General features: G+C 54.5%; 1 protein-coding gene across 1 annotated transcript in view, besides 6 other annotated features; it reads right to left on the minus strand.

Annotated features, from left to right (window-relative positions):
- KMT2D (lysine methyltransferase 2D) overlaps positions 1–15,641 on the minus strand; it is a 41,817-nt gene extending 26,176 nt beyond the window's left edge. Inside the window, exons 1-19 of the mRNA NM_003482.4 lie at positions 14,460–15,641; positions 10,123–10,208; positions 9,747–9,873; positions 9,375–9,598; positions 9,154–9,263; positions 8,825–8,987; positions 8,323–8,488; positions 8,054–8,168; positions 7,762–7,919; positions 7,411–7,556; positions 5,733–7,271; positions 4,529–5,637; positions 3,952–4,065; positions 3,506–3,616; positions 2,812–2,916; positions 1,456–1,637; positions 1,107–1,271; positions 912–1,021; positions 767–814 (exon numbers count right to left, since the gene is read on the minus strand). Coding sequence (NP_003473.3) covers positions 767–814; positions 912–1,021; positions 1,107–1,271; positions 1,456–1,637; positions 2,812–2,916; positions 3,506–3,616; positions 3,952–4,065; positions 4,529–5,637; positions 5,733–7,271; positions 7,411–7,556; positions 7,762–7,919; positions 8,054–8,168; positions 8,323–8,488; positions 8,825–8,987; positions 9,154–9,263; positions 9,375–9,598; positions 9,747–9,873; positions 10,123–10,171 — 4,741 coding nt within the window. The 5' untranslated portion in view covers positions 10,172–10,208; positions 14,460–15,641. The remainder of the gene's footprint in view (positions 1–766; positions 815–911; positions 1,022–1,106; positions 1,272–1,455; positions 1,638–2,811; positions 2,917–3,505; positions 3,617–3,951; positions 4,066–4,528; positions 5,638–5,732; positions 7,272–7,410; positions 7,557–7,761; positions 7,920–8,053; positions 8,169–8,322; positions 8,489–8,824; positions 8,988–9,153; positions 9,264–9,374; positions 9,599–9,746; positions 9,874–10,122; positions 10,209–14,459) is intronic.
- Positions 3,808–5,007: an enhancer, noted in NCBI's record as "CDK7 strongly-dependent group 2 enhancer chr12:49442744-49443943 (GRCh37/hg19 assembly coordinates)". NCBI's record gives its function as "activates an origin of replication core promoter dependent on BRD2, BRD4, P300/CBP, MED14 and CDK7 cofactors, with strong dependence on CDK7, by STARR-seq in HCT116 cells {active_cell/tissue: HCT116}" and the evidence as "EXISTENCE:reporter gene assay evidence [ECO:0000049][PMID:35650434]".
- Positions 5,041–5,541: an enhancer, noted in NCBI's record as "H3K4me1 hESC enhancer chr12:49443977-49444477 (GRCh37/hg19 assembly coordinates)". NCBI's record gives its function as "activates a minimal SCP1, AML or CMV promoter by ChIP-STARR-seq in naive H9 embryonic stem cells {active_cell/tissue: H9 hESC(naive)}" and the evidence as "EXISTENCE:reporter gene assay evidence [ECO:0000049][PMID:30033119]".
- Positions 10,888–10,957: a silencer, noted in NCBI's record as "silent region_4422". NCBI's record gives its function as "represses an Ori minimal core promoter by ATAC-STARR-seq in GM12878 lymphoblastoid cells {active_cell/tissue: GM12878}" and the evidence as "EXISTENCE:reporter gene assay evidence [ECO:0000049][PMID:35858748]".
- Positions 14,333–14,627: a silencer, noted in NCBI's record as "tiled region #5975; K562 Repressive non-DNase unmatched - State 2:TssF". NCBI's record gives its function as "represses a minimal TATA promoter and a strong SV40 promoter by Sharpr-MPRA in K562 cells {active_cell/tissue: K562}" and the evidence as "EXISTENCE:reporter gene assay evidence [ECO:0000049][PMID:27701403]".
- Positions 14,789–15,408: a silencer, noted in NCBI's record as "silent region_4423". NCBI's record gives its function as "represses an Ori minimal core promoter by ATAC-STARR-seq in GM12878 lymphoblastoid cells {active_cell/tissue: GM12878}" and the evidence as "EXISTENCE:reporter gene assay evidence [ECO:0000049][PMID:35858748]".
- Positions 15,459–15,708: an enhancer, noted in NCBI's record as "active region_6303". NCBI's record gives its function as "activates an Ori minimal core promoter by ATAC-STARR-seq in GM12878 lymphoblastoid cells {active_cell/tissue: GM12878}" and the evidence as "EXISTENCE:reporter gene assay evidence [ECO:0000049][PMID:35858748]".

Below are 16,686 nucleotides of genomic sequence, written 5' to 3' on the forward strand. Positions count from 1 at the left end.
GGAGATTCAGAGAGGAACTGTAACTCAGAAGCCTGCCTTTGCTCATGATTAACCCTAGGTTCACTAAATAGATTCTCTTGCTGTCTGGGGCTATGAGGGCCCCTACTTGCTGAATGCCAGCACACAGTGTCCTAGATGCCAGCAGCAGTGCCATATCACGATGGAGATGTCCCTGGCCCCTTTCACTTAGGAAAAAGAGTTATGTTCTCAGCCGGGCGCGGTGCTCATGCTTGTAATCCCAGCCCTTTGGGAGGCCGAGGCTGGCAGATCACGAGGTCCGGAGATCGAGACCATCCTGGCTAACACGGTGAAACCCCATCTCTACTAAAAAATACAAAAAATTAGCCGGGCGTGGTGGCGGGCACCTGTAGTCCCAGCTACTCAGGAGGCTGAGGCAGGAGAATGGCGTGAACCCGGGAGGCAAAGCTTGCAATGTGCCAAGCTTGTGCCACTGCACTCCAGCCTGGGCAACAGAGCAAGACTCCATCTCAAAAAAAAAAAAAAAAAAGAGATCTGAAGACGAAATCCTAGCAGTGAAGAGACCATGGTGCCTGATGAAAGGAACATTGCCCGGGAAGCTGGAGACCTTGGTTCTAGGCATAACTTTGCCACTAACTTACTAGGTGACCTTGGGCAGGCCACTTAACTTCTCTGGGTCTGAGTTTCCTCCTCTTAAAATAAGGAGATGAAGCTAGGGGGTTGGAGCTAGACTAGATGATGTCCGACGTCTGGTCTGGCTTTGGCATTCAAAATTTCTGTGACTCACCTGGCTCTTTCACCTTCATGGGCACCAGCTCTGGAGGTGCAACAGGCGCTATGGAGAGAAGGACAAACGGAGGTGGCTGAGGTCCTGTCCCAAAGCAAGGTACCCCTGCTCTGACTCCTCCCCCTACCCAGCAGCTGGTACTCACCCACAGGCTTTACCACGTAGGGCTGGCAGGAGACACAGTCAAAGCCTTCATCGGCTGCCTGCTCCACATCGTCCTCTGTGAAGAGGCTCTCACAGCCTGCATGCATCCACCTGGAGAACAGAGACTGGAGGAAATAAGCTCAGGCAATGCGAGGCTGGCAACAGGGCCAAAGTGAGGAGAAAGGGATGTTCTCACCGTTCACAGTGGCGGCACTGGATTAGTAGGTCCTCTTCTACGTAAGGAGCATGACAGATAGGGCAGGTCACCAGGCTGGCACAGGGCCCACAGTGTGTGTAACTATTCTGCCATTCACAGTGGAAGCCAGGGGAAGCAGCCCCACACTGCATACAGGACACACACCTGATAGGAGCAGGAAAACAGAGCTTTAGCACCCAACCTACCCGAAGTACCCAGAAGTCCCCTCACCGGAAACCCAAGCCACCAGCCTGGCCTCCTAAACCCAGCCTCTGTCACATACTCAACATCATATCCACTTTAACATCTCAAGGCCCCAGGGCTCCACTGAAGATCCCAGTCTCCTTACCACTTGCACTTCCAGCCGCCCTTGGGGACGGTGAGCAGTGGGGGGTCCAGGCAGTATGTGTGGTAGCTAATATCACAGTCATCACAGAGCAGCAGGCGTGAGGGGTCGGAGGCCTGGCCACACACCTCACACACAATACACTCCACACAACGCCAGCCCTTGAGCAGCATCACCTTGGTGATCTGGGGCAGAAGATGGGAACTTCTCAGGGTGTGAGGTGGAAAAGAGGTAGAACTTCTTTTTATTTTTTTTTGGAGATGGAGTTTTGCTCTTGTTCCCCAGGCTGGAGTGCAATGGCGCGATCTCGGCTCACTGCAACCTCTGCCTCTCAGGTACAAGTGATTCTCTTGTCTCAGCCTCCCAAGTAGCTGAGATTACAGGCACCTGCCACCACACCTGGCTAATTTTTTTGTATTTAGTAGAGTCAGAGTTTCACCATGTTAGTCAGGCTGGTCACCAACTCCTGACCTTAGGTGATCCACCCGCCTCACCCTCCCGAAGTAAAGTGCTGGGATTACAGGTGTGCGCCACCGTGCCCAGCCTAGGAGGTGGAACTTCTAAGGGTGAGGCTGGAGGCAGCCCAATGCAGAGACTAGGCCTCCATTTGAGCACACAGAGACTTAGGCAGAGCACCCTTGTCCCCAAAACAGTGACTCTAAACTTAGGCTCCCAATGATCTCTGCTGATCAGAGAAGAGCTGCACTAGCCACTGCCTCATTGTGAATAGAATAGCAATCTTTCCACTAGCCAAGCCCCTAAAAAGAGACTGTGGACCGAATTAGGTCCCCCAGTTTTTCCTTTTTTTTTTTTTTTTTTTTTTTTTGAGACGGATCTCACTCTGTTGCCCAGGCTGGAGTGGAGTACAGTGGCGTGATCTCGGCTCACTGCAACCTCCGCCTCCTGGGTTCAAGCAATTCTCCTGCCTCAGCCTCCCGAGTTGCTGAGATTACAGGCACGCGCTACCACACTCAGCTAATTTTTGTTATTTTTTAGAAGAGACGGGGTTTCACCATGTTGACCACGATGGTCCTGAACTCCTAATCTCAGGTGATCCACCCACCTAGGCCTCCCAAAGTGCTGGGATTACAGGTGGGAGCCACCATGCCCAGCCATGTTGTTATTTTTTACGATGGACTGAATTATACCAGCAAGTCAGGGCCTACCACAAAGAAACTATCAAGTCCACCGTTGAGTTCCAAAGTACTTTTCCCCAAGAAAAGTTTGATAACCACTGGTGACTAATGAACAACCATGACCGATGGCCGCTTTAAGAGGTGGTATGGCCAGGACAAGGAACTAGGGTAAGAAATAACTGACCCTATTCCCCAGCCTACACCTCTTGGGCCCTGAACTCACCTTGCTGTTGACACAGTAAGGGTGATAGCACTGAGAGCACTGCGAACAGGCAAGGAGGTGGCCCTCTGCCCCCCGGCCAAAGCTGCCACATACCACACACATGTCCTGGGGAAACACAGAGAAACCCAAATGTCCAACTAGATCTCCCCATCCCACTCAGATCCAGTCTACTATGACGCTACAACACTGATTTGCGACCAGAGTCAGGAACCCCATCCCACAGCGTTAGGATGCTGTAAGCTACCAAGGGACCCTGCTCCTTCCTAGGATGCCTTACTCACCTAATCAGGTCACTTGAATTTATAAAGCCTGACATGGGTGAAGTTAAGAAGAAATTAAAGGAAGATAAGATGGAGTAAAGACTGGTCAGGTGAGAATCACATATGTGACAAAATTCTATCAGCTTCAAGATTATTCAAGTGAGGACACATGTAAGTTCCCTAAGCTATAAAGTTCAATAAGGCAAAGACTTTTTCACTGCTATTTCTCTAGCTCCTAGCTTAGTGCCAAGCTCAGAAGAGATACTCAAGAGAAATGTGATGGATGGACAAACCAATGAATAACATGATTAGAATTCATGGTCTGTTTTCTCATTAGCTGGGTATCCCCAAAGTAGGTCCAGTTTTCCCATCTATCCTCTCACCAAACACACACATACACAATGTTCAGTGTGCCAGGTCTCACTGTATGGTACCTGCATTAGGACAAATTTGTCTGTGTTGGAGAAGAGAACCACGGTATTCTGCATGGTGTCATCATCTTCTTCCTCCTCCTCCTTACTGGGAGAGCTATCAATGTCAGCAACCTGATGGGCAGAGAGTTATGGAAAGTGAGGCAGATAAATCTGCCCCCACCAAGCTACTTTCCTCTTTGGTGTTGGGGGAAGAAAGTGTGAACCCTTGGTTAAGATGAAGGCCAAAAGCCAGGAATAACAGACAGAACACCCCAGCTCCCAAATTGAGCCTCAGTCTGATAGCAGAGATTTCAGAAAAACCTGCGGGCCAAGTGGACAGGAATTCAGACATAGCCAGACAGGCCCTAGACGAGCAGGCAGGTAGGCAAGCATGCAAGGGACTGGCAGGACTCAGAGGGTGCTAAAGCATGGTTGGGGGATGGGAGGAATAGGAGGCATCTCCTTACTACCAGAGTCTCAATGGAAGAAGCAGTTGACTTTAGCCGGGCCCGTCCTCTACCACGTCCTCCATGGGCTCCTCCACGAGGCCGGCGTCTTCCTGGGAAACTGCTGCTGCGACCCTGAGTGAAAGAAGGGGACAATGACAGGAGCATGTCAAGGGCTAGTGTGTTGGGTTTACACACTTGAACAGAAGAAGTGACAAACGGACAGAGTAAGACAGGTAATAAGCCCAGGAGTCCCACTCAGGGCAAGGGAAAAGGCCAAACTCCCAGATATCAACAAGCGCATAGCTCTAGCCCAAACCCATTCTTCCCCTCCCAAGAGTGGTTGAGATGGGCAAGGAGAAAAAACAATGGCTTGAAAGAACCAAGTTTCTGGTCCCAATTCTATTACTGAGTAACCATGAATCTGGGCAAGTTACTTGTCCCTTCTACGTATTAGTATTTTCTCCTTAATAACTGGAATAAAGGATCTCCAAGTCTAGGATTCACAAAGCAAGGTGGGAAAGTATCAGTGACACAGGACTGTACCTCTGACAGTGGGCTAACTCTAATCACATCCCGCAGCTAGATAGCCCCTCACCTGTTTGATGCGGGAACGGGCTGGGGAGCTGCGCCGCCGCCCCTTCTCCCCCTCAGCTTTGCCTCCGCTGATAGCTGTCCCAGCATCGCACAATAGTGAGTCATCAGTCTCTGGCAGTGAGTCAGTACAGAGCCGTAGGGAGCCCTCATCTCGGGCTGGACTAACATCCGTAGAGACCCCCAACTCCATGGACAGGGAGCCACCCCCCTCCGGGTCTGGAGAGCCCAGGAGGGGCTCTGAGCCAGGAAAACTGGCACTGGCATCACCCTGGCTCAGATTAGAGATCTCGTTAACGATGTCGGATTTGATGAGAGTGGGTGGTGTGGGGGCCACCGGTGCACGTGGCTCTTCCTGTTCTTCACATGGTGAGCCCTGCCCTGCTGTCTGCTTGCATTCGGGGTAGACCTCCATAGGGGTCACAGGGGCCAGCTCCTCGGGGTCCAGGAGCACAGGGGAGCCTTTAAGTTCACTAGCCAAACTGCCAGGGGTCTGTCCAGGCTCTGGCTGTGAACCCGGAGCATCAATCCCATCCAGAGGGGCTGTGTCTTCCCCTAGGCCAGAGAAGTCATCCAGGGCTGGGGCAGGGCTGGGGGCGGGGCAGGAAAGGTCCCCCATTGGGGAAGGGAGAGGACTGGTGGCACTGGGTTCCAAGGCTGGGCATTCAGGTTCTGAAACTTTCTCAGTCTCCATCTCGTGCAGCTCAGCCTCATCTGAGACCCCCACTACCTTCCCTATGGGACTCAACGGGGAGGGAACGGACAGTGGTAGGGCAGGAGGAGAGCACTGGGAAGGAGGGGAGTTTTGGGGAACCAGGGAATGCTGAAGGAGTGGCGAACACTGAGGAGGAAGGGGCTCCATCAGGATGGGAGAAGCCGGCCCCACTGGGGAGCCTGGAGATGGGGGAAGGATCATAGGGGGGACAGGCTCAGGGTCAGTGCAGTTAGCTTCTGGTGGAGGGCTGATGGGTGTCTCCAGGATGGGGGCAGCCAACGGTGACTCAGGGTCACTGTCCCCTTTGGCACCAAAGGGGTACTCTAACTCCCCCAAAGGAGACAGGGCCGGTGGGGCCGCAGCTGTGATGATGGGTGAGAGTGGAGGAGGAAGGGGATCTGGAAGGAAAGAGAAAAAAGAAGGGCTCTTAGATTAGATGTGCCATGAAGAGTTACAGCTGTTCCAGAATAACAGAGTACTAACATCCCCTTACCTGGTGGCATCAGCTGAGGCGACAAGGATGGCTCCCCAGATGGGGACAACGGCAGCTCCTCGGGCAGAGGGGACAGAGGTGGTTCCCCAGGCTCAGACAGGGCTGGCTCTCCAAGCAAGGGAGATAAGGATGGTTCCCCAGGGGGAGGGAACAAGGGCAGCTCCTCAGGTGCAGGGCATTGGCCTGGCTCCTCAGGGGGCTTTTCAGGCCGAGGGGACAGGGGTGGCTTCTCAAGCTCAGGGGACAGATGCGATTCCTCAGGCCGGGGGGACAGGCATGGCTCCTCAGACTGGGGGGACAGGTGTGATTCCTCAGGTTGGGGGGACAAGCATGGCTCCTCAGGCACAGGAGACAGGTGCGGCTCCTCAGTCTGGGGGGACAGGTGCAATTCCTCAGGCTGAGGGGACAGATGTGGTCCCTCAGCCTGGGGGGACAAGTGTGGCTCCTCAGGCACAGCGCATAGGCATGGCTCCTCAGGCTGGGGGGACAGGTGTGGCTCCTCAGCCTGCGGAGATAGGTGTGGCTCCTCAGGCCGGGGGGACAGGTGCGGCTCCTCAGGCCGGGGTGACAGGTGCGGCCCCTCGGACCGGGGGCAGAGTTGCGGCTCCTCAGGTAGTGGCAACAGGGGTGACTCCTCCAGCGGCAGGGACATGAGCGAGTCCTCCGGTGGTGGGGAAGCAGGTGAGTCCTCAGGTGGTGGGGATGTGGGGGAGTCCTCAGGTGGTGGGGAGAGGCGTGAAGCCTCAGGTGGAGGGGACGTGGGAGACTCCTCAGGCGGTGGGGACAAGGGAGATTCCTCAGGCGGTGGAGACAGGCGTGACACCACAGGCAGGGGGGATAGGCGCGATACCTCAGGTGGGGGGGACATAGGTGATTCTTCAGGTGGTGGGGACATAGGCGAGTCCTCAGGTGGTGGGGACAGGCGTGATGCCTCAGGTGGTGGGGAAAGGGGAGACTCCTCAGGTGGAGGGGACAGAGGAGACTCTTCAAATGGTGGGAACAGACGAGATGCCTCCGGTGGTGGAGACATGGGTGACTCTTCAGGTGGAGGGGACATGGGTGACTCCTCAGGTGGTGGAGACAGGCGAGATGCTTCAGGTGGCGGGGAAGTGGGCAATTCCTCAGGTGGCGGGGACAAAGGAGATTCTTCAAATGGTGGGGACAGGGGCGATGCTTCAGGTGGTGGGGATAGAGGCGTCTCAAGTGCAGGAGATGGGGGTGACTCTTCCGGTGGAGACAAGGGCGACTCCTCCAGTGGAGAAAAAGGTGATGATTCAGGTGGGGGAGACAGAGGAGACTCCTCAGGCGGCGGAGAGAGGGGCGATTCCTCCAGCGGCCGGGACAGGTGCAATGCCTCAGGAAGTGGGGATGCGGGCAATTCCTCAGGTGGTGGTGACAGGCGTGATGCCTCAGGTGGTGGGGACGTGGGTGATTCCTCAGGTGGTGGGGACAGGGGTGACTCCTCAGGTGGGGGCAGCAGTGGCATCTCCTCGTTTAGGGGGGCCTCCAACTGGGGCTCAAGTTGGACCCCTGCTTTCCCTGCAGACACAACAACACGATGCTCCTATCTAGCTCAGATCTACTCCACAGAAAGTGTGGGGTCTGGGGCAATGCACAAACTGTCTCTTGCCATAGAATAAAAGGGGATGAATTTCAGGGACCCTCAAACCCTACTCACCTAGTGGTTTGGCTTCACATTGCAGGGGCCCTGGTTCCTTGGGTTGCATAGAGGTCACGTGCCCACCCTTTGGCTGCCCTTGGCATGCAACGTACAGAGCATCGGGCTCGTCAGTGGGGGTATCGCCAGGCTCTGGGGGTGAAAATCTGCAGAGGGTACAGGGGAGCAGGCACTGTGGCTCTCACCAGCTAACAAATCCTAGAGAGCACACTGGGGGGAGGCACGAATGCTGTGGATGGCACTGCCCACCTTAGGGCTCTCCTCTCAAAGTCCACTCAATTTAACAAGGCCCCTGCCAATGTCAGTTCTTCCAACCTGCCAGCCCAATCTCAGTCAGTCCCCACCACTTACCTGCTACACACCGGGGTATGCTGCTCAGCAACGGAGCGGATAGTCTGACCTCCCTGGGCTTTGTGACAGCGGTGACAGAGAGAGTAGTTCTCAAACCACTCCGAGTTGGGATTCAGTTCTGCTGAGCCCGCCCCACAGGCCCGGCACACCCGGCACGCCTAAGGGAAGGGAGTGGGCAAAACAGGCATTGGTCAGACAGCAAAGACTAAACGAAAGTACACAACTTGTCAAGACAGAGAATGCTGTAGCAGACACAGTTAGGGACAATAGGGCAGAATCAGGGTACACTCACCTTGCACTTCCAAGAGTGAGCAGGCAGTTCCTCCATGGGTGGTTTTAGGCAGAAAGTATGGTATCCTTTGTCACACGTCTCACAAACCAACATCTTAGAGTCATTCCCAGGTTTCCTGCAGGTGCACATGGAACATTACAGTGTCCTCTCTGCCCTCATTTCCTTTCTTTTTTGTTGTTTTCATGTTAACAGGCCTTCTCCGACTGCCCTCATTTTCAACCCTAACCTGTGTTGTGCCTAAGACTTTCCTCCTGCCCTTCCATTCCTACCTGCAGGCTTGGCACACTTTGCATTCAGGGCACTGCCAGCCAGCACGTTTGCGGGCAGTCAGAGCAGTGTCCAGGCAGGCCCCGTGATAGTGATGCCCACAGCTGGTACAGAAGAACAGGTCACACAACTCCCCTGGCCCCTCACACACTGCACAGCGAGCCTCCTCTGCAGGGGGTAGAGACACCACAGGTCAGCTATGGATTCCTTGTAAGCCTCAGCACATTGCTGTACACAAAACAGGCACTCCATGGGCACAGAATGAACAAACAACAAAGTTACTGAGTGCCTGCCCAACGTCTGCCAGCTACTGTTCTAGGCACTGGAGACAAAATGATAAATGAGACAGGCAAAACCCTGGTGCTCACAAAGTTCACACCTATTTTAGTGGGGCAGACCAACAGTAAATAATGCTATACTTTGATCAGTGCTCTGTAGAGTACAAAAATCCAAGGCACATTTGGTCTCTCATTTGCCCTATGACCAAAGATCAGGACTTCTCACCCAGATATGCAGCCCCCTCACTGTGCTCTGGGCATAGCAGCTGCAGTGTTTTCATGGATAGGAAGGAACCGCTGGCAGTCGCGCAGGGGAAGTGGTAAAGCCGTGGACATCCAGGTGAGCGGCAAGGGATGGAGGCACCGAGCCTGGTGCAGTGGGAGCAGCGCTGCCAGGGTGAAAAAAGAGCCTCAGTGTCAGCCAGCTCTCCCCAGACAAACAGTTCAGGCACTAGCTCTGCCCCAGTATACCCATGGTCCTTCTCATTCCAACCTGACTCTCAGAAGCCCACCAGCCCTGCCCTTCACCTATGCAATCCCCTGGCCCAGCCCCACCTGTGAGATCCCTGAGAAGATGGCCTTGTCCACACCACATAGTTCTGGGCCCTCCTGCCCCCATACGCCTGCCGACCATGCAGCACACCAATGGTGAGCCCAGCAGGACCCTTTACAGGTGGGAAGAGGTAAAGAGAAAGGAAAGAATTAACAAAAAGAGGATTGCTGGCTCAGGACTACCCAGCCCTTATCCCATTTCCTGCCCCATTCTCCTCACTCACCTCCAGGTTCTCCTAGGTGGGCAGGTGTAAGGCCCTCAGGGAAACCAATCTGTGATAGGTCCTCACTGGGCAGCACTGCCTCATTGGGCCCTGGGCTCCCCCCAGGGGACACCACTGGACACCGGGGCCAATCAAATGGCAACTCAAAGCGCCGTAGCTCCCGCTGCCCGTGTAGACTGGGCTCCCCGCAGTTACAGAGAGCACAACGCCGCACCGGACCCCCACTGTGGACACACAAGCATCAGTACCACGCCAGGCCCCCAGCAACCCCATGATCTGGCATGCCCATGCTTCCCCAACACTCATTTTCCTAAATTCTCTTCCTTGAAAGCCCTAGACTCTCAAATCCTCATGTGCCCTCAAACAAGCTACCTGCAGTCCTGAGGAGTCTCCTGAAGCCTGGGACTCCCAGAACTAAGGACAGAGACCTCTCCCACATGTGGGTTGGGCAGGTCTGACTCAGTGGCACTTGGGTCCTCAGAAGCTGCAGGTCCATCAGCTGAATAAACAGACAAACAGCATGTGTCAGCCATCATCCCTATTTAACACAAAGTCCACTCACCAGACGCATGAGATTATCCAAAACCTGAGTGGATCAGAGTGATGATATTTCAACTGTTGTCCCAAAGAACAAAGTTGTTCCATTACTTATCTGCTACATAGACTTAGCTCATGTCCTTGTGCCAGGACCAGAAATGTAAGGTTGCCAATGAAATCTAAAAGCAAACAAACAATTTGTCCTACTCACCTGCCGGTTCTGAATCTTTATCCTCACCAGCCAGCTTCTGGCTGTCCATCCCTCTCTCCGACTGGGCAGGGCCCTCTCGGGGAGACCTGTTGGTGCCAAGAAAGAGATCTATATGCCTACTAAGTCTTCCCAAGAAGCATTTTTCCCAGAATCCTGGGAAGAAGGCATCCAGACCCTCCAGACATCAGAGCAAAGCCATACTACAAACTCCTATACTGACAAGAAAGTCATTCTCCCTAACCTGTAGGGTCACTTCCTCCCCAGATAAACACATACGCTCTTCTCACACTCTGGAGAGATTCTCAGGGGATCCATTTGACTTTCCCACTTCCAGGCTCCTCTGTAAGAGTTCCTGGGGCCATAGCATCCAACTAGAAGCATATCCATTTGTATCTAATACTGCTCTTTGGCTTGCCTCTGGGTTTTTGGCTTTTGGTGAGCCCTATTCCCACACCTTTCCCTCAAGTCTCAAGTAAGCTCCCATTCTAGAGGCCAGTCTGTGCCAACCCAGGGGTAGTCATGACCCAGGAAGCCTGAGTCCAGCAAAAATCCCTCTCCCAGAGGCAGAGTCTGAGGCACTGCAAGAGATGTAACACACTACTGGAACTACAGCCTAGCTATGGATGGATCTCCCCCACCGCCACTTGTTTCTACGAGGACATCACCATTACAAAAGAAGAAACTCCCTAATTTCCACCCACTTCCAACCCAAATCCAGCTCAGACCAACCCCCGGCCCATGCCCTAACTGAGCTCAGGGTCTCACCCAGCCTGAAGGTCTCAGGTCATTGCCCTTAGCAACACCAACTGCCCTTCCTCTTCAGATATCCCTAGTAGTTAACAGAAGTGGACCTTGAGAGTTACTGAGCATGTGTAGCCAGGCCTGAGGCTAAGCATGCTGGGAGTTGTAGTCTCAGGAAGCATAGAGCCACTCAGAGGAGTTCTAAACAGGGCAGGACATAGCACAGCACAGCGGAGTAGCTTCCTTCCTCTTCCCTCAAGCAGGGTTTCCACACACATACATGGGGGTGGGGAATAACGGTCCCTTGTCCCTTCTTCTAAGAAATGCGTGCCTGTATCAGAGCCAAATGAAACACACTAAAGTTATACCTAAAAAAGTTGAGACTTACACCTTTGGGCATTATTTTCCTAGATCTCAGAGGGAATTAAGCACAGTGGGAAAAAAAAAAGAACAATAATTACAGACACGAAGAATAGGAAAGGGATTCTATAGAAGGAGGGAGAAAGTGGTAAGTGTTAGCAGCTTGTAGTGGGAAATGTAGACCCTTTCTCTTAATCAGAGAAGGTATACAGTGTTCCTAGAGAAAGTGGTGGTGAGGTGGGGGAAATCCCTAAAACAGAACTCAAACAATAAAAGTTTGAGAAATTCATCTCTCGCCTTTTCCACTCTTCTTGACTAACCAGAGTGACCACACCACCCTTAGCAAGGACAGCCCGTCCTCCCAAACTGGAAGGCAAATACCCCAGTCAGCCACTTACGGTTGAATGACTGGGACAGATGAGACAGGGGGAACCCTCAAAGGTGCCCCAAATCAGTAAATCAATTCCCTAAGAACTACAATATCACTCTTCCTGCCCTGAACTCACCCTTTATTTCCAGATAGTGGCTATGCCCCTCTGGAGACATGTCACAGGAAAGAAACTTCCTTTTTCCCCTAACACTCTCAGAACTCACTGGATAAAGTAAAGCATCACCTGATACACATCATCTCCATTCCCAAGCCATCTTTCCCAAACCTGCCACACAACCACATTCGAAAGGAAAGCAGGGTGGGTCATCTGGCCGGCTCGTACAAAAGCTGCTCCAGAACTTCAAGGAGTCCTTAGAAGCTACCATGGGAAGTGGGAGGTGGAGATGAGGGCAGCAGCCAGGCCCCTCTTCCATTCAGTCATTCAAGGCCTGGCCACACCCGGAAGGTCCAAGGGGCCCTTAAAGTTTTCTAATTCTTTGCATCTTACTATATCTTACCACTACATACCCCTAAAGATCCTCTACCCGCTCTGGTCTCAAAGTTGAGGCCAAAAGAGTCACAAACATCAAGAAGTAAAAGGCAACAATGATAATACAGTGGGTAGGAGGAGGGCTGCCTCACACAAGGCCAGAGGGGCAAATTCCTCAGCCCTCCCCCGAGCTCAGCCCTCTCAGGCTGGTAAGGCTGGTACTGCTCAAGAAGGTACAGAAACCACCTTCATCTGGCCTTGAGAGAGTACTAACATCCTCCAAAGCCAGAGCCCATTCATGGGGCCATGGAAGATGAGAGATTAAGAAGCAAAGAGAAGAATGTCATACAACTTGTACCAAAAATAATCTAGGGGGCACCTCCAAAAAGCCTGAGCCCTCAGTCCCTATTTCCCCATCCCTGCAGTCCAGCACAGGGATCCCAATGCTGATTCCCAGTTAATAGGCCCCTGAACATATCTAAACAAAGACCCCAGGTTCCCCAGTCCCATCATTCACAGCCAGTAAACTGACACACATACACACCAAGGATTTTTTCCCTGGATCTAAACTGGGGTAGTGTCTCACCAGGCTTTCTCCACAGAACTAGAGATCCCAGACAGTAGGTACAGATCTAGGGAGTAAAACTGTGCTGGCACCCCCTCAGTCCTATACCTAAGAGGTCCAAAACAGCAAAGAAAAGGACAGGGATTTATCTCAACCCACTCTCCTTCCTGCCTCCCTCCCAGACCAACAGCTTTCACTCCATTTTCCCAGACAAGGGGGAAATGGACGCTTGGAGAAGTGTAAGGCTGAAGCAGGCCCTTGAGTGAACAGCTCTTCAGGAGGACTCAGGACTTCCTGGTTCCCAGCCTGGACTCAAACCACACCTCTTCCCACCCCCATTTTGGGTCACCCCTCCGAGATGGATCCAAATGGAACACTGGCCCTGCAGACCCTCTGAACTGTGTCCCTGGCTCATCCTGAGAGCAGGCACAGCTAACAGGGTGCAGTCCTACATAAGGAAGTTGTTTCGGGACAAACGGGAGGGACTCTCCATAGAATGCCGGAGTGGAGAGCAGGATTGACAGCTCACCTCACTCCACTACCCCTGTGCCACCTCTCACCTTTCAGAAATCTTTAAAAGGCAAAACCCCTATTTTCTCCTTTCCAAAACCAGACTCAAAGAAATCTAGTATATGTATGTTGGAGCAGATAAGAGTGAGGGAGCAAAATGCACCAGCCAAATCCCTGCTGGGTAGCATGACAGGTGTGAGAGGGGCAGTCCCAGCCCAAGCAAGGCCCACAGGATTGAGGCTCAAGCTGCAGGCACATACACACCCTTTCTCCCCAATACCTTCTGCCAGGGGTGGAATCACTGGTTTCCAGGAGAAAAGAGCTCTGATCAAGCAATTTCTCCTCCAGAGAGACACAGGCCACCCCATTCTGCACAGTTGGTACAGGATCAGAAAACCAGTTAACAATCCCTGGTCAAAAAAGGGTTGGAGAGGTCTGGGAGGGGCTTGCAGGACTGGCCAGGGACTCATGGGCAGCCAGCTCTCCATACCAGGCCGGGAGAAGGCAAAAGACAAAAGCCATTTTTTGCAGCCTACATTCGCAGGGAGCAAATCTCAACGGCCTCCTCTATAATCCTCTGGAGATTAGATCCATCCCAAGAGGAGGGGAGGCAAAGCAGGCTAAGACAGCACTCGGCCTCACTGGGGTCACTTTGCCAGGCAGGGGCAGTTTAAAGTTGAACAGCAGGGCCAGAACTGCCCCAGCCCCGCCTCCTTCTTGCCCCAGCTACCCCCTTCATCACAACTAGTCAGTTTCCACACACTCTCCCTTTGCCCAGTGAAAGAAGGCCTGGTGAAGGATCTGGGGTTCCTTGAGTTTTCCAGGGACTGCTTTGGGTGCCCAACTCGGTAGGAACAACCTTAAAGTCCAACTGGCATAAGTCTGACCTGGCAGTGACACCCTCCCCCACCATCCCAAGTTGCTCTGTCCCAAGGCCCACAAGGAACCCTGAGGGGAGAAGCAGCAGCCTGGGATTGGTGCTGGCATCAGGGCCCGGGTCCTAGTTTAGTCGAGCTCCCCCAACACAAAAATAAACAGGCAGAGAGGCTATCTGGCCAGGTTCCCAAACTCCCGTGGTTCCCTGAACCCCCAGTCTTTAAAGAGGCACACCCCAAGACACCAGGCCTCAGTTCTGCCCTGGTGACTGGCTCAGGTTCCCTTGACAGACCCTGCCAAAGGAACGCTCCCCAGCTCTGGCACCCCCTTCTCCAACCTAAAGGCCAGCTCCGGCTAAGATAGTCCATCTGGCTGTGCCCCCAGTCCAACCCTTTCTGGGCCCTGGCCGGGCGGACTTCACTCACCTCTTCACAGGGCGATCCAGAAATCCTCATCCGAGAACATGGCCAGAGCCCGGGCCGCTCCCCGACCTCCAACCGCCAGAGCGATCACAGCCGCCCCCCGCACGGGGGGGCTTAGGGGGGCCAAGAACGGTAAATCCAGGTCGGAGTGGCCACCCTCCCCCCACAAAAAAACAGCAAGAAGCCAAAGAGGGGTTCTCTGCCTCAGGTTCCAGCAGTTTAGGTTTCCATGGACAGCCCCAGGGCGGCGAATCCCGAGCGGACACAAAGAGAGCACCGGTGGCTTTGATCTTGGGCGAGCAGGCTCCGCATCCGCGTCGCCGGGCGGCCTCTCAGTCCTAGGGCCCGGCCAGCGCCCCGGCCGCCCGCGCCGGGCTCGGGCGGAACGTCGAGGCTCTCCAGATGGAACGTCGAGGCGCCTCCCCAGCAGCCCGGAAGGAATGCCGCGCCGCCCCGCGCCTGGCCCGGATGGAACGTGAGACCCTCGCAGGAGCGCCGAGCCCCTCTCCCCGCCCCGGCCGGCGCCCGGGGCCGCGCGAGCTACGGCGACGCGGGGCCGGCGGGGCCGCGGGGCTGAACCTGACACACACCCAGCGCCGGGCTTCTCGACCCCGAGCGCTCACCCTCGGCGGCTTCGAGCCCCCCACCTTCTGCTCCCCCCGGGGAAGGGAGGAGGCTAGGTAGGCGAGGAAAAGGAAGGGGCGGGCGGTGCGAGCCCTCTGCCCGCTCCCCTCCGGCCGCTCCAGGCCCTGCGCTCGCCTCCCTTCCCCTCTGGCCTCGGGAGCTGCCCCGCCCCCGGCCTGGCCGGCTCTGGTCGGTGGCACCCCCTCGACCCCCGGCTGACTGTGATCGCAGGCGGCCTAGAGGTGCATGGCCCAACCCCGGCTCCCGGCACCGGGGGGTCAGGAAACTGAGCGGAAAGTGGGGAACGAGGCAGCCATTTGCAACCGGAGAGGAAAGTAGTGCAGCGCGGCGCCGCTCCGCCTCCCCCCCTCCGCCTCCTGTTCGGCCGGTAGGGTGGTTCCTGCGAAGGGGCTATTTCCTGGCCCAAGAGCTGGGCAGCGGTCGTGAAGATTCGTGAAGCCTTCGGCGCTAGATCCGGGGGGGCCTTTTGCCCGGGGCACCCCACTCGAGAGGGGGAGAAAGGAGAAGAGGCGGCCCTATTTTGTGTTGGAGCGGAGCGGCGGAGGGATCCCGCCCTCTCGGAGGAAAGGCTGTGACTCTGCAGTTCTACGCACACGCTGCGGGATCCTTCCGCTCCGGGTTAACCCCGACCGCGCCGGGCCGGCAGCAGGGCAGACACGTGGGAACGAAGCCCCCCTCCTCTCCGCCGCGGCCCTGGAGCCGCCTCATTTACCGCCCAGGCCGCGAAACTAGGACTCTGGCCGCTGTCTAATTCCATACCCTTGCAGTCGTTGGTCCCTGAAGTTCCAACTGCCCCTTGCTTTGGCCAGGGGCAGTCTTTCCCGGGAGGGGGATGGAAGAAGAGCCAGGAGATTGGCCGCTGCTCAGCATCCTGGGAACTGGAGTCCGCAAATGGAGAAAGTGAGGTACGGCGCCTGGCGCTGCAGAGGGTGGACTCTTGCCACGTTTGGGGACCCGAAGAAAACTGGACGAGTCCCTAGTCGTTCCTCCTGACTCCCAGTCCCCCGTGTGAGGAAGGACTGTCGGTGCCCACACAGTCACTATACACACCTCCCCATCGAAACATAAAGGTAGAGCCTCCCTTTTCAGGGTGCCCCCACTCCCACCTCCAGTCCTTCCAGATATTCAGTACCCGTGTCCCTTTTTTAGTAAACTGAGGTAGCCTCGCTGCTACCTGGCCGGAGTACTGTCCTGGACAAGATCGCAAAACATACTCTTTGCAGGCACCACCCCCCCACCATAAGTCTGGATGAGAAAACATTGGAATGCCTCTTCTGCATCAACGCACACATGGGGTGGACAAAAGGAGACAAATTAACTATGTCCAGATACTTTATATATTCTTAGTTATTCCTCGCCTTCATTATGAGTTACATGGAATTATCTCCATATTACAGATGAAGATTAAGGCTACAATAGGTAAAATTGCCCACAGAACTACATCTAGTGAGAAGTTGAGCCATTATTCAAACCAAAGGCCACGTTTTTCCTAGGATTACAAATAATTATACTACGTTTTTTTAAAAGAAGATGTGGAGAAAGAGGCAGGCAGATTCGATCCAATGCCAGCTTTGTGAGGAAAGGG

Source organism: Homo sapiens, chromosome 12 (genome assembly GCF_000001405.40).
Source record: "Homo sapiens chromosome 12, GRCh38.p14 Primary Assembly".
Lineage (NCBI taxonomy): Eukaryota > Metazoa > Chordata > Mammalia > Primates > Hominidae > Homo > Homo sapiens.